Below are 17,405 nucleotides of genomic sequence, written 5' to 3'. Positions count from 1 at the left end.
GCAGTGATATTTATCACTAGTTGTGTTGGCCAATGTGTTAGGAGGGTGAAGCTGTTTGACTTAAGCTGCTTGATTGGTTTGCATTTAAATAGACACCTGGTGGCCTGGTGCCTGGACACTTGCTCTGTGACCTGCCCCGTGTGGCTCCTCCCTCTGGCATGCATTAGATGAGATGGGCGTGTTTAGGGCGATGTGGCCCTAGACTGGAATGCATTCGAAGTGCAAACCCTGCCCCACCCCAGACCTGCCCCACCCCAGTGTGACGTTAGGAGGCGGAGGCCCAGCATCCTTCACCTGCCCTCCAGGTGGGTCTGAGGATGCTGAGGTTTCAGAGCACTGCTTTGCTAGCACACCAGCGAGTCCTGCTTAAAGAGGCCAGGATCTGAAAGGGCAGGTTACCAAATTGTGTAGCAGAAAAATAGAAATGTTTCCTTAGAAGGGGTGTAGGAAGGAAAATAATTTCCTTCATCATATCTGGAAAAGATTTCAAATTAGTAGGCACTATTTGGAATTATTAGTGGTCTCCTGTATTTCTTTCTTTCTTTCCTTTTTTTGATACAGGGTCTCGCCCTGTTGCCCAGGCTGGAGTGCAGTGGTGCAATCTTGGCTCCCTGCAACCTCTGCCTCCTGGGCTCAGGTGATCCTCCCACCTCAGCCCCCTGAGTAGCTGGGACTACAGGCGCGCTACCACACCTGGCTCATTTTTGTATTTTTTTTTGTAGAGATGGGGTCTTGCTATGTTGCCCAGGCTGGTCTCGAATTCCAGCATTTCTTCTGCCTCAGCCCCCCAAAATGCTTCTGTACCCCTGCCCCAACAAGGAAGGACAAGAGGTGTGAGCCACACACACGCCTGGCCTCCTGTCTTTCCTTGTTGGAGCAGGGATGTAGAAGCACTTGCCGCAGCCGACTTGAGTACATCTGACTTTACTTAGCTTTCCTCATGGGTAGCCTGGCAGTGCTGTGCACCAGTGCTGCTGGCCAGCTGTTTTTTCAATGTACTGGCAGAAAATCAAGCTGACACCCGGGTTCCTTTCTCCCTGGGTACTGACCAGGTGGGAGAGGAGGGGCGTTGTGTGAGTATCATCTTCATGAGGGCTGGTGGGGGAACATCAGCTTTAAGGTGCCTGGGATCTAAGGCATGGAACCCAGCAGTGCAGAGGAACGTAGGGGATGTAGCCTCGGGAGCAGAGATGTGCGGGCCGGTGCCCTCGTTCCTGGCGGGGTCTGAGTGCAGGAATAGGTTGGTGACCCAGCCGAGGTCACAAGACCTGCCTGGATGCATGGCTGGCGTCCGTGCTGGCCCCAAAACTGCCCATTTGGGGATTCCCCTCAGTCACAGACTCACCTAGGGGTCCGGAGAGCGTCCCCACTATGACCTCAAAGAACGAGGTGTTGCCTTGAGATCTTCCAAGGTGAGGGTAGGATTTTTTTTTTTTTGCAATTAGCAATAATTTGTTGTGAATGATCTTGGACCTATTTTCCACTTCTTTGTATAGGAAGAGAGACAGAATAAAAAGTCTCAATGTGCCAGATGCCATGTAATGAAGCCATGGGGTTAACGTTGTTGATTATTACGTAGCATCACGTTAATTGGAACATATTCACACGTGTCCACAGCGTGTGCGTGTGCCCAGTCCGATGAGCACGTTGGGTTAGGGTCGCTGCTGGTTCATGCAGCCCCTCTGGGTGGGGCTGTCTCTGTGGCTTGGCCAACACCCTTGCTGCTGCCACTGTTGGAGTCTCCAGCCTTGACCGGCCTTGCTGCCCCCAGGTTCTCGGAGCCTGCGCACCCTCTTCCCGGCGCCCACCCTCTTCCCGGCGCCCACCCTCTTCCCGGCGCCCACCCTCTTCCCCGCGCGCAGCCTCTTCCCCGCGCGCAGCCTCTTCCCCGCGCGCACCCTCATCCCCGCGCGCACCCTCTTCCCCGCGCGCACCCTCATCCCCGCGCGCAGCTTCTTCCCCGCGCGCACCCTCGTCCCGGCACGCACCCTCGTCCCCCGTCGCGTCTACCCGGGGTCTGTCGTGTGTTTCTACTCTGGCCATGCCCGCCTCTTGCTGTGAGCTAAGTTTATTGAGGTGCAGTAAGAAACCAACAGAGGGGAGCAGAGTCCGAGGCTGTCAGGGCGCAAGGGAGCCTTGGGCATCTCTTCCCCAGCTCTGGCGACCCACCCTTCGGGTTGAAGTGCAGGGGAGAGGTGAGTTCTAAAGGTAAGGCTGCGGTGATTTCCTGAGCCTTAATTATCTAACACTTGGCCATCTGCCGTGTGACCCCATCGAAGGGCACCTCTGGGGACAAAGCAAAGCCCTTGGTGGCCGTGGGCGGGGCGGCCGTGCCTGTCTGTGTGTCCTGCACCGGGAGCCCCGCCAGCCGTGGGGACGTTCAGGCACTTGCCACCTGTGGGAGGTGTGTGTTAGCCGCGTGGTAGGTGCGGATGCGTGGAGGGACAGGCACAGGCCCACAGGCGTGGCGGGTATGGGAGATTTAGCCGCGTGGAGATGCGTGGAGGGACATGCACAGGCCCACATGCGTGGCGGGTGTGGGAGATTTAGCCGCGTGGGGATGCGTGGAGGGACATGCACAGGCCCACAGGCGTGGCGGGTGTGGGAGAAAGCGCGCAGAGTGCCCAGCAGATGCCGCGTGGTCAGCGGAAGCCTTGGATACAGGCCGGGCGGGGGAGGGACATCTGGAAATACGCTTTAAGCAGCATCAATGGATAATGCTGTGATTTTCCTTCTTTTCGTGGTCCAAAACACGTTCTAGTGATGTCGCTGATTTGTGTGTACCTGGGACAAGGAACTAAATATATTAGGGCCTTGATGTAATCTGTAAAACAGGCACAATATGCCTATTTCAAAGAGGCAGTGGACATGAAAGACTGCTCTAAACTATTCAGTGCAATGAGAATGCTTCGTTGTCATTAGCAAAGTAAAATGCCTCCAAGGCGAGCTTGCCATGCGTTTAATGACCTTGGACGTGAGCTTCCTAAACCTGCCAGAAAGTGCTTCCAGCGTGGCTTCATGCAGTGGCTTCAGTGGAGAATGTGCATATGCGGCTGATACTGAGAGCCGGGCAGCACCCTGACAGCCTGACACATCCCCATGTGTGGACCGTGAGCCGGGCAGCACCCTCCCAACCTGACGCGTCCCCATGTGTGGACCGTGAGCCGGACAGCACTCTCCCGACCTGACACATCCCCATGTGTGGACCGTGAGCCGGGCAGCACCCTCCCGACCTGACACATCCCCACGTGTGGACCGTGAGCCGGGCAGCACCCTCCCGACCTGACGCGTCCCCACGTGTGGACCGTGAGCCGGGCAGCACCCCCCGACCTGACGCGTCCCCATGTGTGGACCGTGAGCCGGGCAGCACCCTGATGGCCTGACGCGTCCACATGTGTGGACCGGGAGCCGGGCAGCACCCTCCCGACCTGACGCGTCCCCATGTGTGGACTGTGAGCCGGGCAGCATCCTCCCGACCTGACGGGTCCCCTTGTGCCCATTGTGGGACCTCCATCATGCAGGCAGGTGACATGCATCAAACTGAATGCAAGGAGGAGGGTCCAGGATTGTGTGCGGGCTCCGTGTCTCGTCCTTCTGAGGCCTTCTGGGAAGCCAGGAGGGCAGTGGGGTCTTTTGTGTGTTTCCTCCTGGTGGCCGTGGGTTTGTAGAAATGGCTTTTTGCAAAAGGGCCCGGAGGCGGAATTAGAGCCTGTCCTGGAAAGGATGATGCCTTCGCGGGCACCTCTTTCCATTACTCCAGTGCTCCCGTGATTTTAAATATGTGCACCCTGCAGACTTCAGCCTTCTAGTGTCCTGGGTGAATAAATGCCAGGATTGCTCCAATGCTGGCAAACCTGAAACAGGAATTTCTCTGCATTAAGTTTGTCACCAAAATGGGAGGTAAGGGGAGAGGGGAAGGAACTTCTTGGCCTCGTCAGCCCTTTTCTTGAAACTCACAGTCAAACTTTGTCAAGTTCTAGGTGATAGTGCTTGAGGCGATGCACTTATTTATGTTATGTCTTGTTTTCTGAGTACGGTGCTTCGAGAATTTAAATATTTAGGTGAAATTGCCATGCACAGTTGAATTGGCACCATAATTTGACTCTCTGTAAAGCCTTTTGGTTTCCTGTTAGAGTGACCATTTTTTGAGTCAACTGAAGCAAACCCTGCTGTCAGCACGAAGGAGCCACTTTATAGTTAGGAGATCAAATTAAATAGAATTCTCCTAAATAGAGCGTGCTCTTTTCATAAATTTTAAAAATTCATTTATTCATCAAACACATACTGAGTACTTATCACCCTGGTTGCTAGTTACTGTTCATATATGTTTTTAAGGAATTACTTCCACCTAGCTCTGAAATAACATTGCATTTAGAATTTAGCCCAGAGGTGATTAAGCATGAGCTTTTCACAGCAGTCCTGTTTTCATTTTTACTTGAGAACATGTTCTCAGACTCGGTGCCCAGCTGACGTTACCTGTGCATTGCCCGAGGCACACACCTGGCCGGGGCTGTGTCTCGGGGGCTTCAGAAGAGGAAGGAAGGGCTGCCAGGCATCTGGCCCTTCCACGTTTCCCTGGTGGAGGGATTAGGCCTTGGGCAGGAGTCTTGGCTTGTCTTAATGGATGAGCTTGTGTCTCTCAGTCAGCTCTGCCTTGGTGTTAAGCTCTGGACTGACTCTGACCTCTGAGTGGCAGAGGAGAGGACGGTGATTTAGAATCAGTCATGCAGACCAGGGCACTCAGCGGGTCTTGGGTAAAAAGTGGTGGCAATCGATTGCTTGCCCTTTTGGGAGAACTGTGTGGATTGACTCCTCTGAAGACCTCTTTGTTTTGATTTTATCTTGAGACTTTGTAGAAGCAAAAATGCCTTTAAACAAAATTAAATGATGGGCTTTTGTAATGTTTGTGTCTCCCCAAGATTCACAATTGGAATCCTCACCCCGGAGGAGATGGTGCTAGGAGGGGGAGCTTTGGGTGGTGAGGAGGTCATGAGGGTCTCATAAATGGGATTTGTGCCCTCATAAAAGGGACTACAGAGAGCTCCCTCGCTCCTTCCACTGTGTGCGGACCCAGTGAGAAGGCGCCGTCTGTGAACCAGGAAGCCCTCACCAGACAAACCTGTCAGGTCTTGACCATGGACTTCCTAGCCTGAGAGCTGTGAGAAATGAACTTGTGTTGCTTGTCAGCCCCCGCCCAGCCTATGGTGTGTTGTTACAGCAGCCTAGGTGGACAAAGGCAGGTTGTGAATTTTCTGTTGTTTGTCAGTCCCCGCCCAGCCTATGGTGTGTTGTTACAGCAGCCTAGGTGGACGAAGGCAGGTTGTGAATTTTCTGTTGCTTGTCAGCCCCCGCCCAGCCTATGGTGTGTTGTTACAGCAGCCTAGGTGGACAAAGGCAGGTTGTGAATTTTCTGTCAGATTTTCTGGCTTCAGATACCTGGTAGGGAAATGTCACCATCTTACGCAGGTGGGACCGTGTGGAATCAGACGTTATGTTATGATTTGACCCTGTTCTTGCCCCACGCCTGTGCAGTTCACACCTCCAGGTGTCTCGGCTGCCCGCGGCCCCTCCAGGTGTTTCTGATGCGGGGATGTGGGTGCTGGTGCACACGAGTCCCATGTGGTGCCGGTCGCAGCTATGCCGTCGGGGAGCAGGACTAGGAGCTCCCGCCCCTCGTGAACCAGCAGCCTCACCGGGAAGCTGCTGAGAAGTGTATGACGGAAGGTGATTGCGCCTCGAGACTGAAACTTCCTGTTTACAGGGAACTGAGGTGCATAAGAGGGAATTTAATGATGCCCTGAGAGACAGATGCATCTGGGGGACGTTCTGCAGGACGTTGGCCCCAGACTCTCGAAAAGTCATCACAGATAAAGGGTGTGAGGCTGTCCCTGACGAAGATGGGGAAGGAGAGTCACTCGGCGCAGTGTGTGGCCCAGATAGAAAAGACGTTTTCGGGAGAATTGTGCTTATTGAATATAAAGTGGACAGCGATGCTCTGAAATGGTTCTTGTCTGCCGATGATGGTTCTGCGGCTGCAGAGGGTCCTTTATTCTTAGGGAACGCGTGCGTGAGGACTCGGCGAGGTGGCAGGAGCCTGTCACCTTCAACTGGCTCCAGAGGAGAAACGAATCTGTCTCTCTGTATAATCTACAGAGAGAGAGAGTGAGAAAGCAAATCTACCGAAATGTTAGTTGTCGGAACTCCACGTGGAGAAAACTTGGCCACTCATTGTACTGTTCTTCCACTTTTTAAATATGTTTGAACATTTTCATAATGAAAATGTGGGAAAGTAAAAATACATCTGGAAATTGGTATGGAAGTGAGTCAAGCCAAGCACCCTTGGGTTCAGCCGGGAAGAGCCGACGAGCCGACGAGCCGTTGGTGTTCTGTCGACTTGTGGGGATTTCCTCCTCCTGGGTTCACCACCTAGTTTTCCTTGTGATAAAGTTATTTTGTATGTAGCTATGAGCACAGGTTGATGCTGGAAACACACATGTAGTGTGGATTGTCATTAAGAATGTGGAGAACTGGCTAAAGAAACCACTTGTACAGTTTTGAGATGAGCACTGCCTGCCTCAGCATCTGTGGTAACGGCTTCACTTGGGTGCAGAGCTTGGCAGAGGTTTGAGTGACTCTATCTCGATGATCGTCTGTCAGAGGACAAGGTTAAGTGTCACCACCGAGGACCCCGTTGAGCCTCTGGGCTGGAAGTAACTTCCCCTGGGCCGGTGAGGCAGCCTCTGGGGGTCTTTCCTGACAAGACCCTTCACTGAGCTGCAGTTTGGCCACCTCTGCCCTCGCCTCCCTGACTGCAGGGCCTCGAGGTCTCACCACCTCCAGCCTGAGCGCCCAGTGCCCAGGGGCAATTTCCCGCCTTCCCCGGGGGCTCAGGATGCTGGCTCCTGGGGCAGTGCCCGCAGCTGGGCCCCTCCTCCAGGGCTGGCCACGGCCTCCTGCTGTGTCATACCAGCTGCTTCCCCGCAGCTGCAGCCCACACTGCGCGGCCGCTTCTGCTTCTGTTGGATGAGGAGACGCAGGCCCTCGCCCAGGCCCCCATGGGCCCTCAACGCCCCAGAGACCCGGCTTCCCGGCCTCGCCCCTGCTGGCCCTAAGGCTGTGCCACCTCCCCCTGCCCAGTCCCTGGTCTCTGTACAGTGTCTGTCCAGGACGTCTATCCATCCATCCTTGACAACCTGTCCAGATGAGGCCACTGTTATCCCAGTCTGTGAGGGGCGATCACAGCCCAGGTGCCGGCCGATGTGGAGACGCTGATGGACTTCAGTGTGCAGGAAAGTGAGTTCCTTCATATCCACAGCCAGCTGGGAGCCCACCCCATTCACAGGTGGATTTGCCTTGTTTTTTGGCCCAATCACCTACATTAAATCAGAAGAATCACAGTTCCCTGCTCTTCTGGTTTTTGTGACTGTCCGCCTCTCTCCTCTGCCTTGGATTGGAGGGTGGGGTGTGTCATGGGTTCGTGGAATCCTCTCTCTGTTCTTGTGTAGCCACCAGGGACTGTTATCCAGGCTGATTCCACAGGAGGAGTTTGGGGTGAGTTCCTGAGCGAGAGTTGGGAAGACTGACGTCTGCGTAAATCTTGCTTGTTCGTGGTTATTCCTCTCAGTCTTCTTAAATTCTGAAAAATTGGGGGCCAATTAGAAATAAGGATTTAGGTATGGATCGGTGAGGACAGAATGTTGATCTAATTGGCTTTACGTTGTGTGTGATAATTTTACGCTACCCTCCGGAAGAACTTAAGATGTTGACAGTGTCGTGAGAATCATTTTTTTCTTTTTCTTTTTCTTTTTCTTTTTTTTTTATTTTTGAGATGGAGTCTCGTTCTTTTTGCCCAGGCTGGAGTGCAATGGTGCAATCTTGGCTCACTGCAATCTCTGCCTCCTGGGTTCAAACAATTCTCCTGCCTCAGCCCCCCAGTAGCTGAGATTATAGGTGCTCACCAACACACCCAGCTAAATTTTTGTATTTTTAGTAGAGACAGGGTTTCACTCTTAAGGACGTTGTTCAGTAAGTACTAATTGGTGGCCTGCCGTTGAACTAATTTCAGTGTAGTACTGACATCATCAGCCACGGCAGAAACTTACTTGGCATCCCTGGAAGAGAGGGCAGGGAAGCATAGCAACCTGAAACCACCTCATTCTCCAGCGCTACTTCCAACTCTGAGCTGATGGTCATTACGAGTGGATCTGCCCTGGACAAGTAGTTTAGTGTAGCTGCCTTGGACGGGCAGGTGAAAAGTAACAAACCGCCAGAAAACTCAGCTAATAAAATGTTAGGAGAGACTTGGGGCACCAGGAAGGGGTGAGGCCTGTCTGTGTGCCATCTGTGTGGAGCCTCAGTATCTAGGGGACAGCGTTGACGCTGAGCCCCAGGTTTTTATTAGTGTTTCCCTGAATAAAACGCCACTCCTGAGCTGTGGACTGGGAGGCTCTTTCTGATGATTAGGCTTCATAATGCGGGATCACTAGGCAAGGTGGATGTGAGGGCCATAGGATCTGGAGACTGTCCAGGACTGCTTTCTGGAAGGCGGCCAGCCTGCTGGAGGGGGACAACAGGCTTGTCCCTTCAGCAGTGAAGCCACCAAAGAGAGTCTTTTTGAGAATAAAAGAGAGAAGCTTTTAAGGAAAAAAAGCAGTTTCTGTCTCTGTTTGGGAGTTGAGTGCATTTTCCTGCATTTATTCAGAGATGTTCGTCAGTTCCCACTGTGTGCCGGGGCCCCGCTATGGGGTAGGGTCACCCCACCGCGTACCTAACCCAGGAAAACTCGTCTGCAGTTATTTCAGAGGCTGTTTGCATTTCTTGTGCTTCAATGGGTGGAGGGAGTTTTTCCTCCTACTGTTTTTAGTCAGTTTTCTTAATCTAGCCTGTTACTGGGATAAGTTCCAGAGCCGAGCAGTTTTAAAAACAATCTTTGCACCTTGCATGGAGAGCAGTCCATCTGTGGGTGGTTTGTTCCTGGAGGTGCTGCAGTGGCCTTGGGTGACGCGAGGGCCCCCTGGCTCAGGATGGGCCGAGAGAGGAATGCGTGAGCAGTGGGCACCGGCCGGAGGCAGGGGAGGCGTGGCCACCTGTGGCTCGAACTCTCCCCATCCACTCTACGGCACCACCTCGGACTCCCCGCGTCCGCTCTGCAGCACCGCCTCGGACTCCCCGCGTCCGCTCTGCGGCACCGCCTCGGACTCCCCCCGTCTGCTCTATGGCACCGCCGGAATGTGAACGCTGTTGCCCTGGACGTTTTCTCTCTCTGCTCAGTGCCCAGGCTCTTGGGTACACAGGCGGCCCCGGGTTTTATTTGGAAAGGGTACAGAGAACAGTGAAGTAACCCACGTGCCTAAGCTTTGATTGACATGAAGAAATGTAGAAGCTGCTGAAATCCTGGTCATTTTAGAACAAAGTATCTTATTAACATTTTTCTAAAAGAAAGAAATCATTAAAAAATTGATCCCGGTTGAGGTAGAAGGATCTCGTCCTCATCCTCCTCAGTTCCTTCCAGAATCAGCTTCGAGTTCAGCTGCAGAACGGGTTCTGGTGGTGGCTGGAGCAGCCCAGGAGGGTGCCGTTGCGTCTGAGTTCACACCGGTGCCTGTGTGGTCTCCAGTTACGGTGCTGGCCGTGGAGTCTGGGTTCACACCGGTGCCCGCATGGTCTCCAGTTACGGTGCTGGCCGTGGAGTCTGGGTTCACACCGGTGCCCGCGTGGTCTCCAGTTACGGTGCTGGCCGTGGAGTCTGGGTTCACACCGGTGCCCGCGTGGTCTCCAGTTACGGTGCTGGCCGTCGGGTCTGGGTTCACACCGGTGCCCGCGTGGTCTCCAGTTACGGTGCTGGCCGTGGAGTCTGGGTTCACACCGGTGCCCGCGTGGTCTCCAGTTACGGTGCTGGCCGTGGAGTCTGGGTTCACACCGGTGCCCGCGTGGTCTCCAGTTACGGTGCTGGCCGTCGGGTCTGAGTTCACACCGGTGCCCGCGTGGTCTCCAGTTACGGTGCTGGCCGTGGAGTCTGGGTTCACACCGGTGCCCGCGTGGTCTCCAGTTACGGTGCTGGCCGTGGAGTCTGGGTTCACACCGGTGCCCGCGTGGTCTCCAGTTACGGTGCTGGCCGTCGGGTCTGAGTTCACACCGGTGCCCGCATGGTCTCCAGTTACGGTGCTGGCCGTGGAGTCTGGGTTCACACCGGTGCCCGCATGGTCTCCAGTTACGGTGCTGGCTGTCGGGTCTGAGTTCACGCTGGTGCCCGCGTGGTTTCCAGTTACAGTGCTGGCCGCTTGTACCTTTCTGGGAAGTTAGAAGGAGGATCATTTCATCGCCTCCCTGTCCTCCCACACCTTGACCTATACTGGGCCACCGCGAATTCTTCCTTTTAACTGTTTCTCTCTTCACAGGCAACACTGGCGTTTTGTGGTCCACGTTTGCCTCTTCTGAAAACGGATTCTGTGTTGCTTTATAGAATCACATGGTCTCTTTTATGAATTTCGCTTTTCTTTCATAAAATAATCGTGCTTTTATCTCTTCAATCTCAACTCTGTTCCCTGGCACAGGCTCTTCCCAGCTCAAAAATTAAAAGTAATCTTTGATTACGCTTAATACTTTCTAAAGTTTTGAAGTTTATCAGCATGTGGGTTACAGAACATTGACTATTTATTTAATGGAAAATTACATTCTAAGTAGAGTATTAAAGTGAAAGGGATCTTTTGATTTTATTAAAATATTCAGGTAAACATATGAAAATGCCTTCGCCAAACTTCATGCTTGTATATCATGAAAACATTAAGCTGCTAAGCTCTCTCTGCTCCCGGGAATGCATTATTAGAGTATGTGTTTGAAGGTGTCATTCCAGTCTTAGTTTTAGGTATTTTTTAAAGGGGTTGGCTGGAGAAGTGACATTTAGCATTGAGTGAATGTTTGATAAAGATTTGTCTCTATATAAAAATATTTAAAAACAATCTTTAGCGTTTCCTTTCAGGGTTCACCCATTAAAGAATGGTCTTGTAAAAAAAAAACATGTTAAGAGTGTTGGCGCCCAGAGGTGCTACCCTGCCCACAGTTTCATCATCCGCTGTCGCCAGGTGACACGTCCAGTGTTTAGCTGCATGTCAGACGTGGCCACAGGGCCACAGGACATCCCTGCGGACGGATGTTCTTATGCAGATTAATTAGGATGGAGACTGCTGCAGAACTGTAAACCCCCCAGGGGCTGACGGAAGCCTGGGAACACCCGAGACACCAGAATCCGCTGCTACAGTGGGTGGAAGGAAACCTCCCTGGAAGATGGGACATGTAATAAGGAGAAAGTACCAAGGCACGTGGTGCTTTGAAAACTGAGATGTTTTAATTAAATTAACAATTAAAATAATTTAATTATGTGAATTATTTGAACTCATTTTAGTTCTTTTTAGGAAATTAATACTTTAAGCAAGTTTGTTTTTGTGAATCGTTTGAATTAATTGAGTCAGCACAAATGTTAGCATTGATATCTGACCCCCTTCCAGGGTTGGGGCAGAGGAGATGGGGGCGGAGGAGCCAGGCCTCCAACCCGCTTTCCCCTGGAGCTCAGCCAGAATTCCCCATTGAGGAGCCCTCAGCTCCCTGAGAGCCAGGAGCTCTTGCGGAGAAGCCACTGTCTGCACGCCACCTGCTTCGATGACCCTGCTCTGCCATCCCTGTGCTCCAAGGGCCGGGCCCTGCCGTTGCCTGTGCCAGACGGGTCTCAGGGAGATGCCGGCCAGCAGGTATGCATGGCGAGGCCTGGGCATCAAGGCCCGGATTCTATGGCTGCCAGTTTCATTCTCTCGTTGTTTGTCCCCCTAGCAAGACTTATGAGGTTCCTTGAGGACAAGACTCCCTCCTGCCACCTGGTCTGTTTCCTGAACATTCACTGCACTAGCACGGCCCCGGGACGCAGCCCTTGGGAATCAGGCCGTCGGCCATGGTAGAGCGGCTGGCACTGCTCGGCACCGTGACGGACGTTGGCCGCTGTGCTTCACTTTGGGGACATGTTTAAGTACAAAACTAATTTTAAAATTTCACCATTATTTCAAGACAGCTGAGAGCATATTAGCACAGAATCCCTGGTCTAAATGAAATCGAAGAGTTCTTATTAATTATTCATAATGCCATGAATATGTTACCTTATTTTTTATAATTGCCAGTCTGTATAATTAACCTTTCATTTGGTTAAAGTACTTAACATTAAGTAGAGCTATAATTACAACTGTTTTTAAAAGTATATGGAAGAATGTTTAAATGTTTAATTAGAACCACTTTTTTTAGCTTCATAAAGAATTTTTTTTACTTGTCAACAAGGATCTTTAATTATTTAAACCAAAAGAGCAGAACAGACCAGAAAAGAAAAACAACTAGTCAAGCTGGGAACTGCAATGGTGGCGTCGTTCCGTGAGTCTCGGGTTTTGCTTCTTGGGTTTGTGGTCAGAGTCCTTACCTTTGATTTCCTAACACAGGTTGTTAGAGTTGGAAGTGAGTGTGGAGATGAGTTAATCCGACTTTATTCTTTCACGGATGAGAAAGCGAATTATCTTCAGCAAGGTGGGTGCAGGTGTGGCCCCCGGGGGACACTGTGGGGAATAGGCCGCCCTCGTGGGGAGCCAAGTTCGTCGTCTCCGGGACAGAGCCCAGGACACTTCCACGGCTGGCTGGCCTCTTCCTAGAACCCCACACATTGCAAAGGATGGAGTCCAGATCTATACTGTAAAGAAATGAGGGCAGTTACAGAAAGCACCACATTCTCGGCTGAGTGGCTCTGGGCACCCCAACGTTGGGACACCTCAGCATCATGTATGGCGATCCTCAGGCTGTGCCCAGCAGTGAGGCTGGGCCTGATCAAGGCTGCGGTCTCCACCCTGAGAGCGAGGGCTTCCTTCCCCCAGCGCGGGTTAAAGCAGTGAGGCCGGGCCTGATTGAAGCTGCGGTCTCCACCCTGACAGCTTGAGCTTCCTTCCCCCAGTACGGGTTAAAGCAGTGAGGCTGGGCCTGCTGGAGGCTGTGGTCTCCACTCTGAGAGTGAGGGCTTCCTTCCCCCAGTGTGGGTTAAAGCACCATGTGTCCACCTATGCAGTGGCTGGTCCCAGTGTGCCCTGAGGGGCAGAAACCCTGGGTCCTGCCGCTGGTCTGGGGTATCTACTTCCCATTCCTGCAGTTCCTGGGAGTGTCTGTGTGTCCAGGGGGCTCCGATCCCTGCCTCAGGACCACGGGTGAGGGGTCAAGATCGCCCGCTTTGGAGTTGGCCCGGATCTTGGTTCTGTGTGGCTCTGGAGCAGTTTTGTCCTCAGGAGAGGGATCCTCACAGCCGCCTCTTGGGACCATGAGGAGAATTAATAGGATGACCCCCAGGTAGCTACCGTAGCCCTGTGCAGGGCCAACCGTGTGTCTCCACCGCCAGTTCCTTCCGTCTGTGCTCCCACCAACTGTCACATCACCAGCCTTTATTTTCTTTTTCTTAGACCCAGACAGCGAGTGCCCCACTGGCCTCGGCAGCCCCTTCTCTAACTTGTCCTCAAATCAGTTCCTCACGGACAGCCCTGACCAGCCATTGGCATGACCAAAACCCCACCAAATAGAACCCAACTTTCCTATTAAGCTGTGCAGAGCAGTCCCAGCCCCACTTCCCACAGGCTGACCTCATTCGCCATGGGATCCGTGGTTCTCACCTGGGGCTGGGGGTGCCCCTGGCATCTGGTGGGGAGTGTCAGGGATGCCCTTCCAGGTCCAGGATAGTCCCCCAGCTGGTGGCCGACAGACAGCAGCACACAGCCTGATGTCCCTGTGGCTTCCGGTTCCCCGAGGCCAGCTGTGCTTTGCTGCCTCTTCATCTTCTCAGACGGGTGCCCTCTCTCCACCTTCGCTGGTTAGCAATGTTCATCCATTAGAGCTCAAAGCACTGCCTGCTGGCAGCACAGCCCCTTCTCCTGGCCCTCCGTCCGCCTGTGCCCCACGGTCTGTGCCGTGTCCCCGCCTTCCGCCTGTGCCGCATGGTCTGTGCCATGTCCCCGCAGGCCCATCAGAGCGAGGCTCCCAGGGACAGAGCGTTTCCTGTTTGTGTCTCTGTCCCACCCTCTCTGGACCTGGCATGATGCCCGTTGCCAACAGAGGTCTTGGGTTGATTGTCACCAAAGCAGATAATCTATATGGCTGTAAATGGCTGTAAACATGCTTGATTGGGGTATTTTTTAAGTAATTGGATATGTAAACATTTGAATGTGACACAGGTGGATTTTTGGGCCAATGGTCTCGTTCTTCAGGGAATAACCACAGGCCCATCCACAAGGACCATTTCTGGCTGATTTATGGAACACTGTTCTACCTGGTTAATTTTGGACGTTATCTCAGCCTGAGAGGTAGGTCAGCAATGTGACGAAGAGCACTGGTTTGAATCCTAATCTGCTACTTAGAAGCTGCATATTTTCCTGCCACGTTCTGTGCCTCAGTTTCTTGCTTGGTTAGGTAGGAAAGGTATGAGCTACCTCAGAGTGGTGAGTGAGGCCTGCATCGAGTGTCCGCATTAAAGTGCCGAAAACTGGACCCAGAGTGTTGATATTTAAAGACCTTTAAACATTCCGATGCTGCATTTTAGTACCCCGGTAAAACAGCAAAGTCGTTACAGATGCAGACACAGACCCTGGGTGAGGTGGGGGACTGATGGTGGGAGGTGGGTCACCAACCCCGTAATGAGGGCGTGGTCTGTTCGAGGCTGAATGAAGTGCACGTCTTCACGTGTACCACGGTGGTGCCTCTCGTGAAGTCCTGTAAGCGTCCACGTGGCTGAGCCGTGCGGTCTGTTTGTGACGTCTGGCAGGAGCAGAGCTTTTGGGCGCAGCCTCGCTCTTGCGTGCACGGCCCTCAACGATCTCAAAAGTCTGAGGCTTAAAGCAGGCTTGGGGTTTCCCTTACACCTCCCGGACATCTAATTTGCCTGGCAAACATGTTATTCTTGGGTGTAAAGGTGAAGGAGTGGGTGACTCTGGTGAAAGTGTACTAATTACTGCACTTCTGGGTCAGTGGCGCTCGGTTGAAGACACTGTCTGCCCTGGGTGGACATCTCTGGTGTGGTGAGAACCGGCGGCTGGATGTCGCGAGGTTGCCAAGAAGATGCCCGCTTTTTCCTTTTTCCTCAGTAACAAAACCCTACTTTGTTTAGGGAAGCAGCGAACCCAGCTGAAAATCCAGTTCTCTTGTACGGCAGAGCGGCTGGTGACACAGGTCCAGATGCTGGGATGCTGATGGGGGGTTTTGGAGAGGGAGGTGTCGGGAGGGTTTCCCGACCCACAGCAGCCCTGGGCCCTTGTCCGGCCTTCTTGCCCGGGGCATGACGCCTGGAGGGAAAGCAGCTTCGGGGGCCTGAGGGCCACAAGGCAGAGTCCTGGTGTGTGGGGCAGGCCTGGGCCAGGCTCCTTGGAGGATGTTACAGAGCCACTGCGTGTGCGGGGACCACCCATCTCTGAGCCCCACGCGGATTTTCCTCCATAGCCGAGCGAAATCCTGGTACGGCGAGCGAGGCAGTCAGAGGCACCTTTTGTGGAAGGAGGACAAAGCTGGAGGGAAGGAGGTTTTCCTAAAAGGCACAAGGCACTGATACTGCGTTAGGAGTAATTCCTAGGAGCGTGGTAGCTGGTGGGTGGAAAACTGTAGCCAAAGAATAAATGGGAATGGCCCTTCTTGGTATTTAACTGATTCGTTCACGAATGGTCCAAACAGTTGTAGTGAAAAAAACATTTTGGACACCGATGTTTTCATCCTGCCTGACGATCGGCGTGACCGTGGGGTGTTCCATCCTTCCTGGGCAACAGTGAGAGGGCCTGACAATCGGCGTGACCGTGGGGTGTTCCATCCTTCCTGGGCAACAGTGAGAGGGGCTCAGGCCCTTCTGGCCCCATGCAGGCATTTCCCCAGGGTGTGTCCCCCGTCCTGAATAGGCCGGAATGCCTCTGGGTGCAGCTGAGCCTCTTGAAAAGGGAAGAGTCATGTGACATGCTCTCGGTGAACAGGAAAATGAGGGAGGACAAGGAGAGGGGCCTGGAGGTGAGGAGGATGGTGACCAACACCAGGGATGGGATGGAGGGTAACCCCGGGGACGGGGGACGGAGGGTAACTCCGGGGACGGGGGGACGGAGGGTAACACCGAGGATGGGGGATGGAGGGTAACACCACTTCTCCAGGTGCCTTTGGGGGATGCTGCCGCCCCTCCCACCCCAGAGTGAAGTCAACAGGATTCTGTCCCCAGGAGCCCCAGAGCCTGGCAGCTGGGATTGGCCCAGTATGAACCACTGTTCACTGGCTCTGCACCCTGGGACAGGCTCCCTGGTGTTTCCGCCCCAGTTTCCCATCTGGACAGTGAGACCCTGACTGTCCCCGTCACAGGTGCACATGGAGGCCTGGACTCTAGCATGTCATCGGCACTCGTTAGTGTCAGCCCTCGTTAGCGTTTCTTTTGTCGTGGTCCATGGACGAAGTGGATCTTGCTTTGTGTGTTCACAGACCTCCTGCTCACTTTACCTTCTGGGAACACTTTGTAAATAGCTTCGTATGTGGGGAGGACTCAAGTGATTAATTGAATATTTCATCAGGTGCAGTTCTCTGTGTCCCAGCTTGCAAAACGCTCTTTTGACACAACATTTGGTGAAATTTCCAGGGACTCCTGTGGTCAGCCTCATGGTTTCACTCTGTCACTTTCTAATGCAGTGTTCTTTGGGAGTCTTTTAAATTAGGTGCCCTCATTTAAAAGTAAGTTTTATAATATGCAGTTTCAGGTTACTTCTTTACCTTTGTGTCTTAGGCAGTGGCTCCCCACCTGTGAGTAGTCAGAAAGGTTCACGCAGTTTTCCAGGGCGGCCTTTGCATTTACTGGAACTATTAAGAGCTCGTTCCTGCTTCAGCCGTGATTGAAGCGCAGTGTGCGTGAGGCCGTGCATGGCTTAGCATCTTCTGCAGGCTAGAGGTCACTTTCTGTCCTTCCCCGAGCCTGCTCTGCTGTGCTGAGTGTTCCCTGTGGGCGACGGTCACGCTGTCTGGCACAGGCCACCGAGGCCACAGGGCAGGCTCCCCGTAGGGGAGCCTGCAGAAAGGCAGAGCCCGGCCTCTTCGCGGCCTTTCACAGGGAGCAGAAAGCGTAAGCCTGTTATTAGAGCTGTGCTAGCCCAGAAAGCCTCCGAACAGTGTTTAATTTAGGAATCGGCTCCTACCAACTGCCCATTTTTAGGATGTATTTGAGTTTTTGTGATTTTTTTTCTGCACTGAAGCTACTGTGCTGGCTCTGAGTCACTGTCATGGGACTTCACGTTGCCCTGACGGGAAGCGGCGGGGGAGGAGGGCTGCGCAGAGGCTTGCGGCCGTGATAATGAAGGGCTTGTTGCCTCTTGGGACAGTGAGTTCAAGCTGTT

The 17,405-nt window shown here is 53.1% G+C and overlaps 2 protein-coding genes, 1 long non-coding RNA gene and 1 other non-coding gene across 8 annotated transcripts in view, besides 5 other annotated features; 3 read left to right on the top strand and 1 right to left on the bottom strand.

The window, feature by feature from the left end:
• Positions 1–17,405, top strand: part of DIP2C (disco interacting protein 2 homolog C) — a 415,468-nt gene that overhangs the window by 47,092 nt on the left and 350,971 nt on the right. The gene's annotated exons all lie outside the window — the stretch shown is intronic.
• LOC124902361 (uncharacterized) overlaps positions 1–17,405 on the top strand; it is a 29,261-nt gene extending 11,856 nt beyond the window's left edge. Inside the window, exon 1 of the mRNA XM_047426106.1 lies at positions 1–17,405. This exon is cut by the window's left edge and continues 11,856 nt beyond it. The gene's annotated coding sequence lies outside the window, so the exon portion shown is untranslated.
• MIR5699 (microRNA 5699) lies at positions 799–888 on the top strand. Its single transcript, NR_049884.1, has one exon. It is a non-coding gene; the product is annotated as a microRNA 5699 (primary transcript).
• Positions 1,949–2,855: an enhancer, noted in NCBI's record as "H3K27ac hESC enhancer chr10:685662-686568 (GRCh37/hg19 assembly coordinates)". NCBI's record gives its function as "activates a minimal SCP1, AML or CMV promoter by ChIP-STARR-seq in naive H9 embryonic stem cells {active_cell/tissue: H9 hESC(naive)}" and the evidence as "EXISTENCE:reporter gene assay evidence [ECO:0000049][PMID:30033119]".
• Positions 9,513–10,447: an enhancer, noted in NCBI's record as "H3K27ac-H3K4me1 hESC enhancer chr10:678070-679004 (GRCh37/hg19 assembly coordinates)". NCBI's record gives its function as "activates a minimal SCP1, AML or CMV promoter by ChIP-STARR-seq in naive H9 embryonic stem cells {active_cell/tissue: H9 hESC(naive)}" and the evidence as "EXISTENCE:reporter gene assay evidence [ECO:0000049][PMID:30033119]".
• Positions 11,322–14,013, bottom strand: DIP2C-AS2 (DIP2C antisense RNA 2). The gene is made up of 2 exons (NR_147612.1): positions 13,680–14,013; positions 11,322–12,718 (listed from the first exon to the last, which is right to left on the bottom strand). It is a non-coding gene; the product is annotated as a DIP2C antisense RNA 2 (long non-coding RNA).
• Positions 12,479–13,438: an enhancer, noted in NCBI's record as "H3K4me1 hESC enhancer chr10:675079-676038 (GRCh37/hg19 assembly coordinates)". NCBI's record gives its function as "activates a minimal SCP1, AML or CMV promoter by ChIP-STARR-seq in naive H9 embryonic stem cells {active_cell/tissue: H9 hESC(naive)}" and the evidence as "EXISTENCE:reporter gene assay evidence [ECO:0000049][PMID:30033119]".
• Positions 15,588–16,379: an enhancer, noted in NCBI's record as "H3K4me1 hESC enhancer chr10:672138-672929 (GRCh37/hg19 assembly coordinates)". NCBI's record gives its function as "activates a minimal SCP1, AML or CMV promoter by ChIP-STARR-seq in naive H9 embryonic stem cells {active_cell/tissue: H9 hESC(naive)}" and the evidence as "EXISTENCE:reporter gene assay evidence [ECO:0000049][PMID:30033119]".
• Positions 16,380–17,172: an enhancer, noted in NCBI's record as "H3K27ac-H3K4me1 hESC enhancer chr10:671345-672137 (GRCh37/hg19 assembly coordinates)". NCBI's record gives its function as "activates a minimal SCP1, AML or CMV promoter by ChIP-STARR-seq in naive H9 embryonic stem cells {active_cell/tissue: H9 hESC(naive)}" and the evidence as "EXISTENCE:reporter gene assay evidence [ECO:0000049][PMID:30033119]".

The sequence above is a fragment of the Homo sapiens genome, chromosome 10 (genome assembly GCF_000001405.40).
Source record: "Homo sapiens chromosome 10, GRCh38.p14 Primary Assembly".
Lineage (NCBI taxonomy): Eukaryota > Metazoa > Chordata > Mammalia > Primates > Hominidae > Homo > Homo sapiens.
Note: the sequence above shows the minus strand (reverse complement) of the source record. Positions and strands in the feature narration are given on the sequence as shown.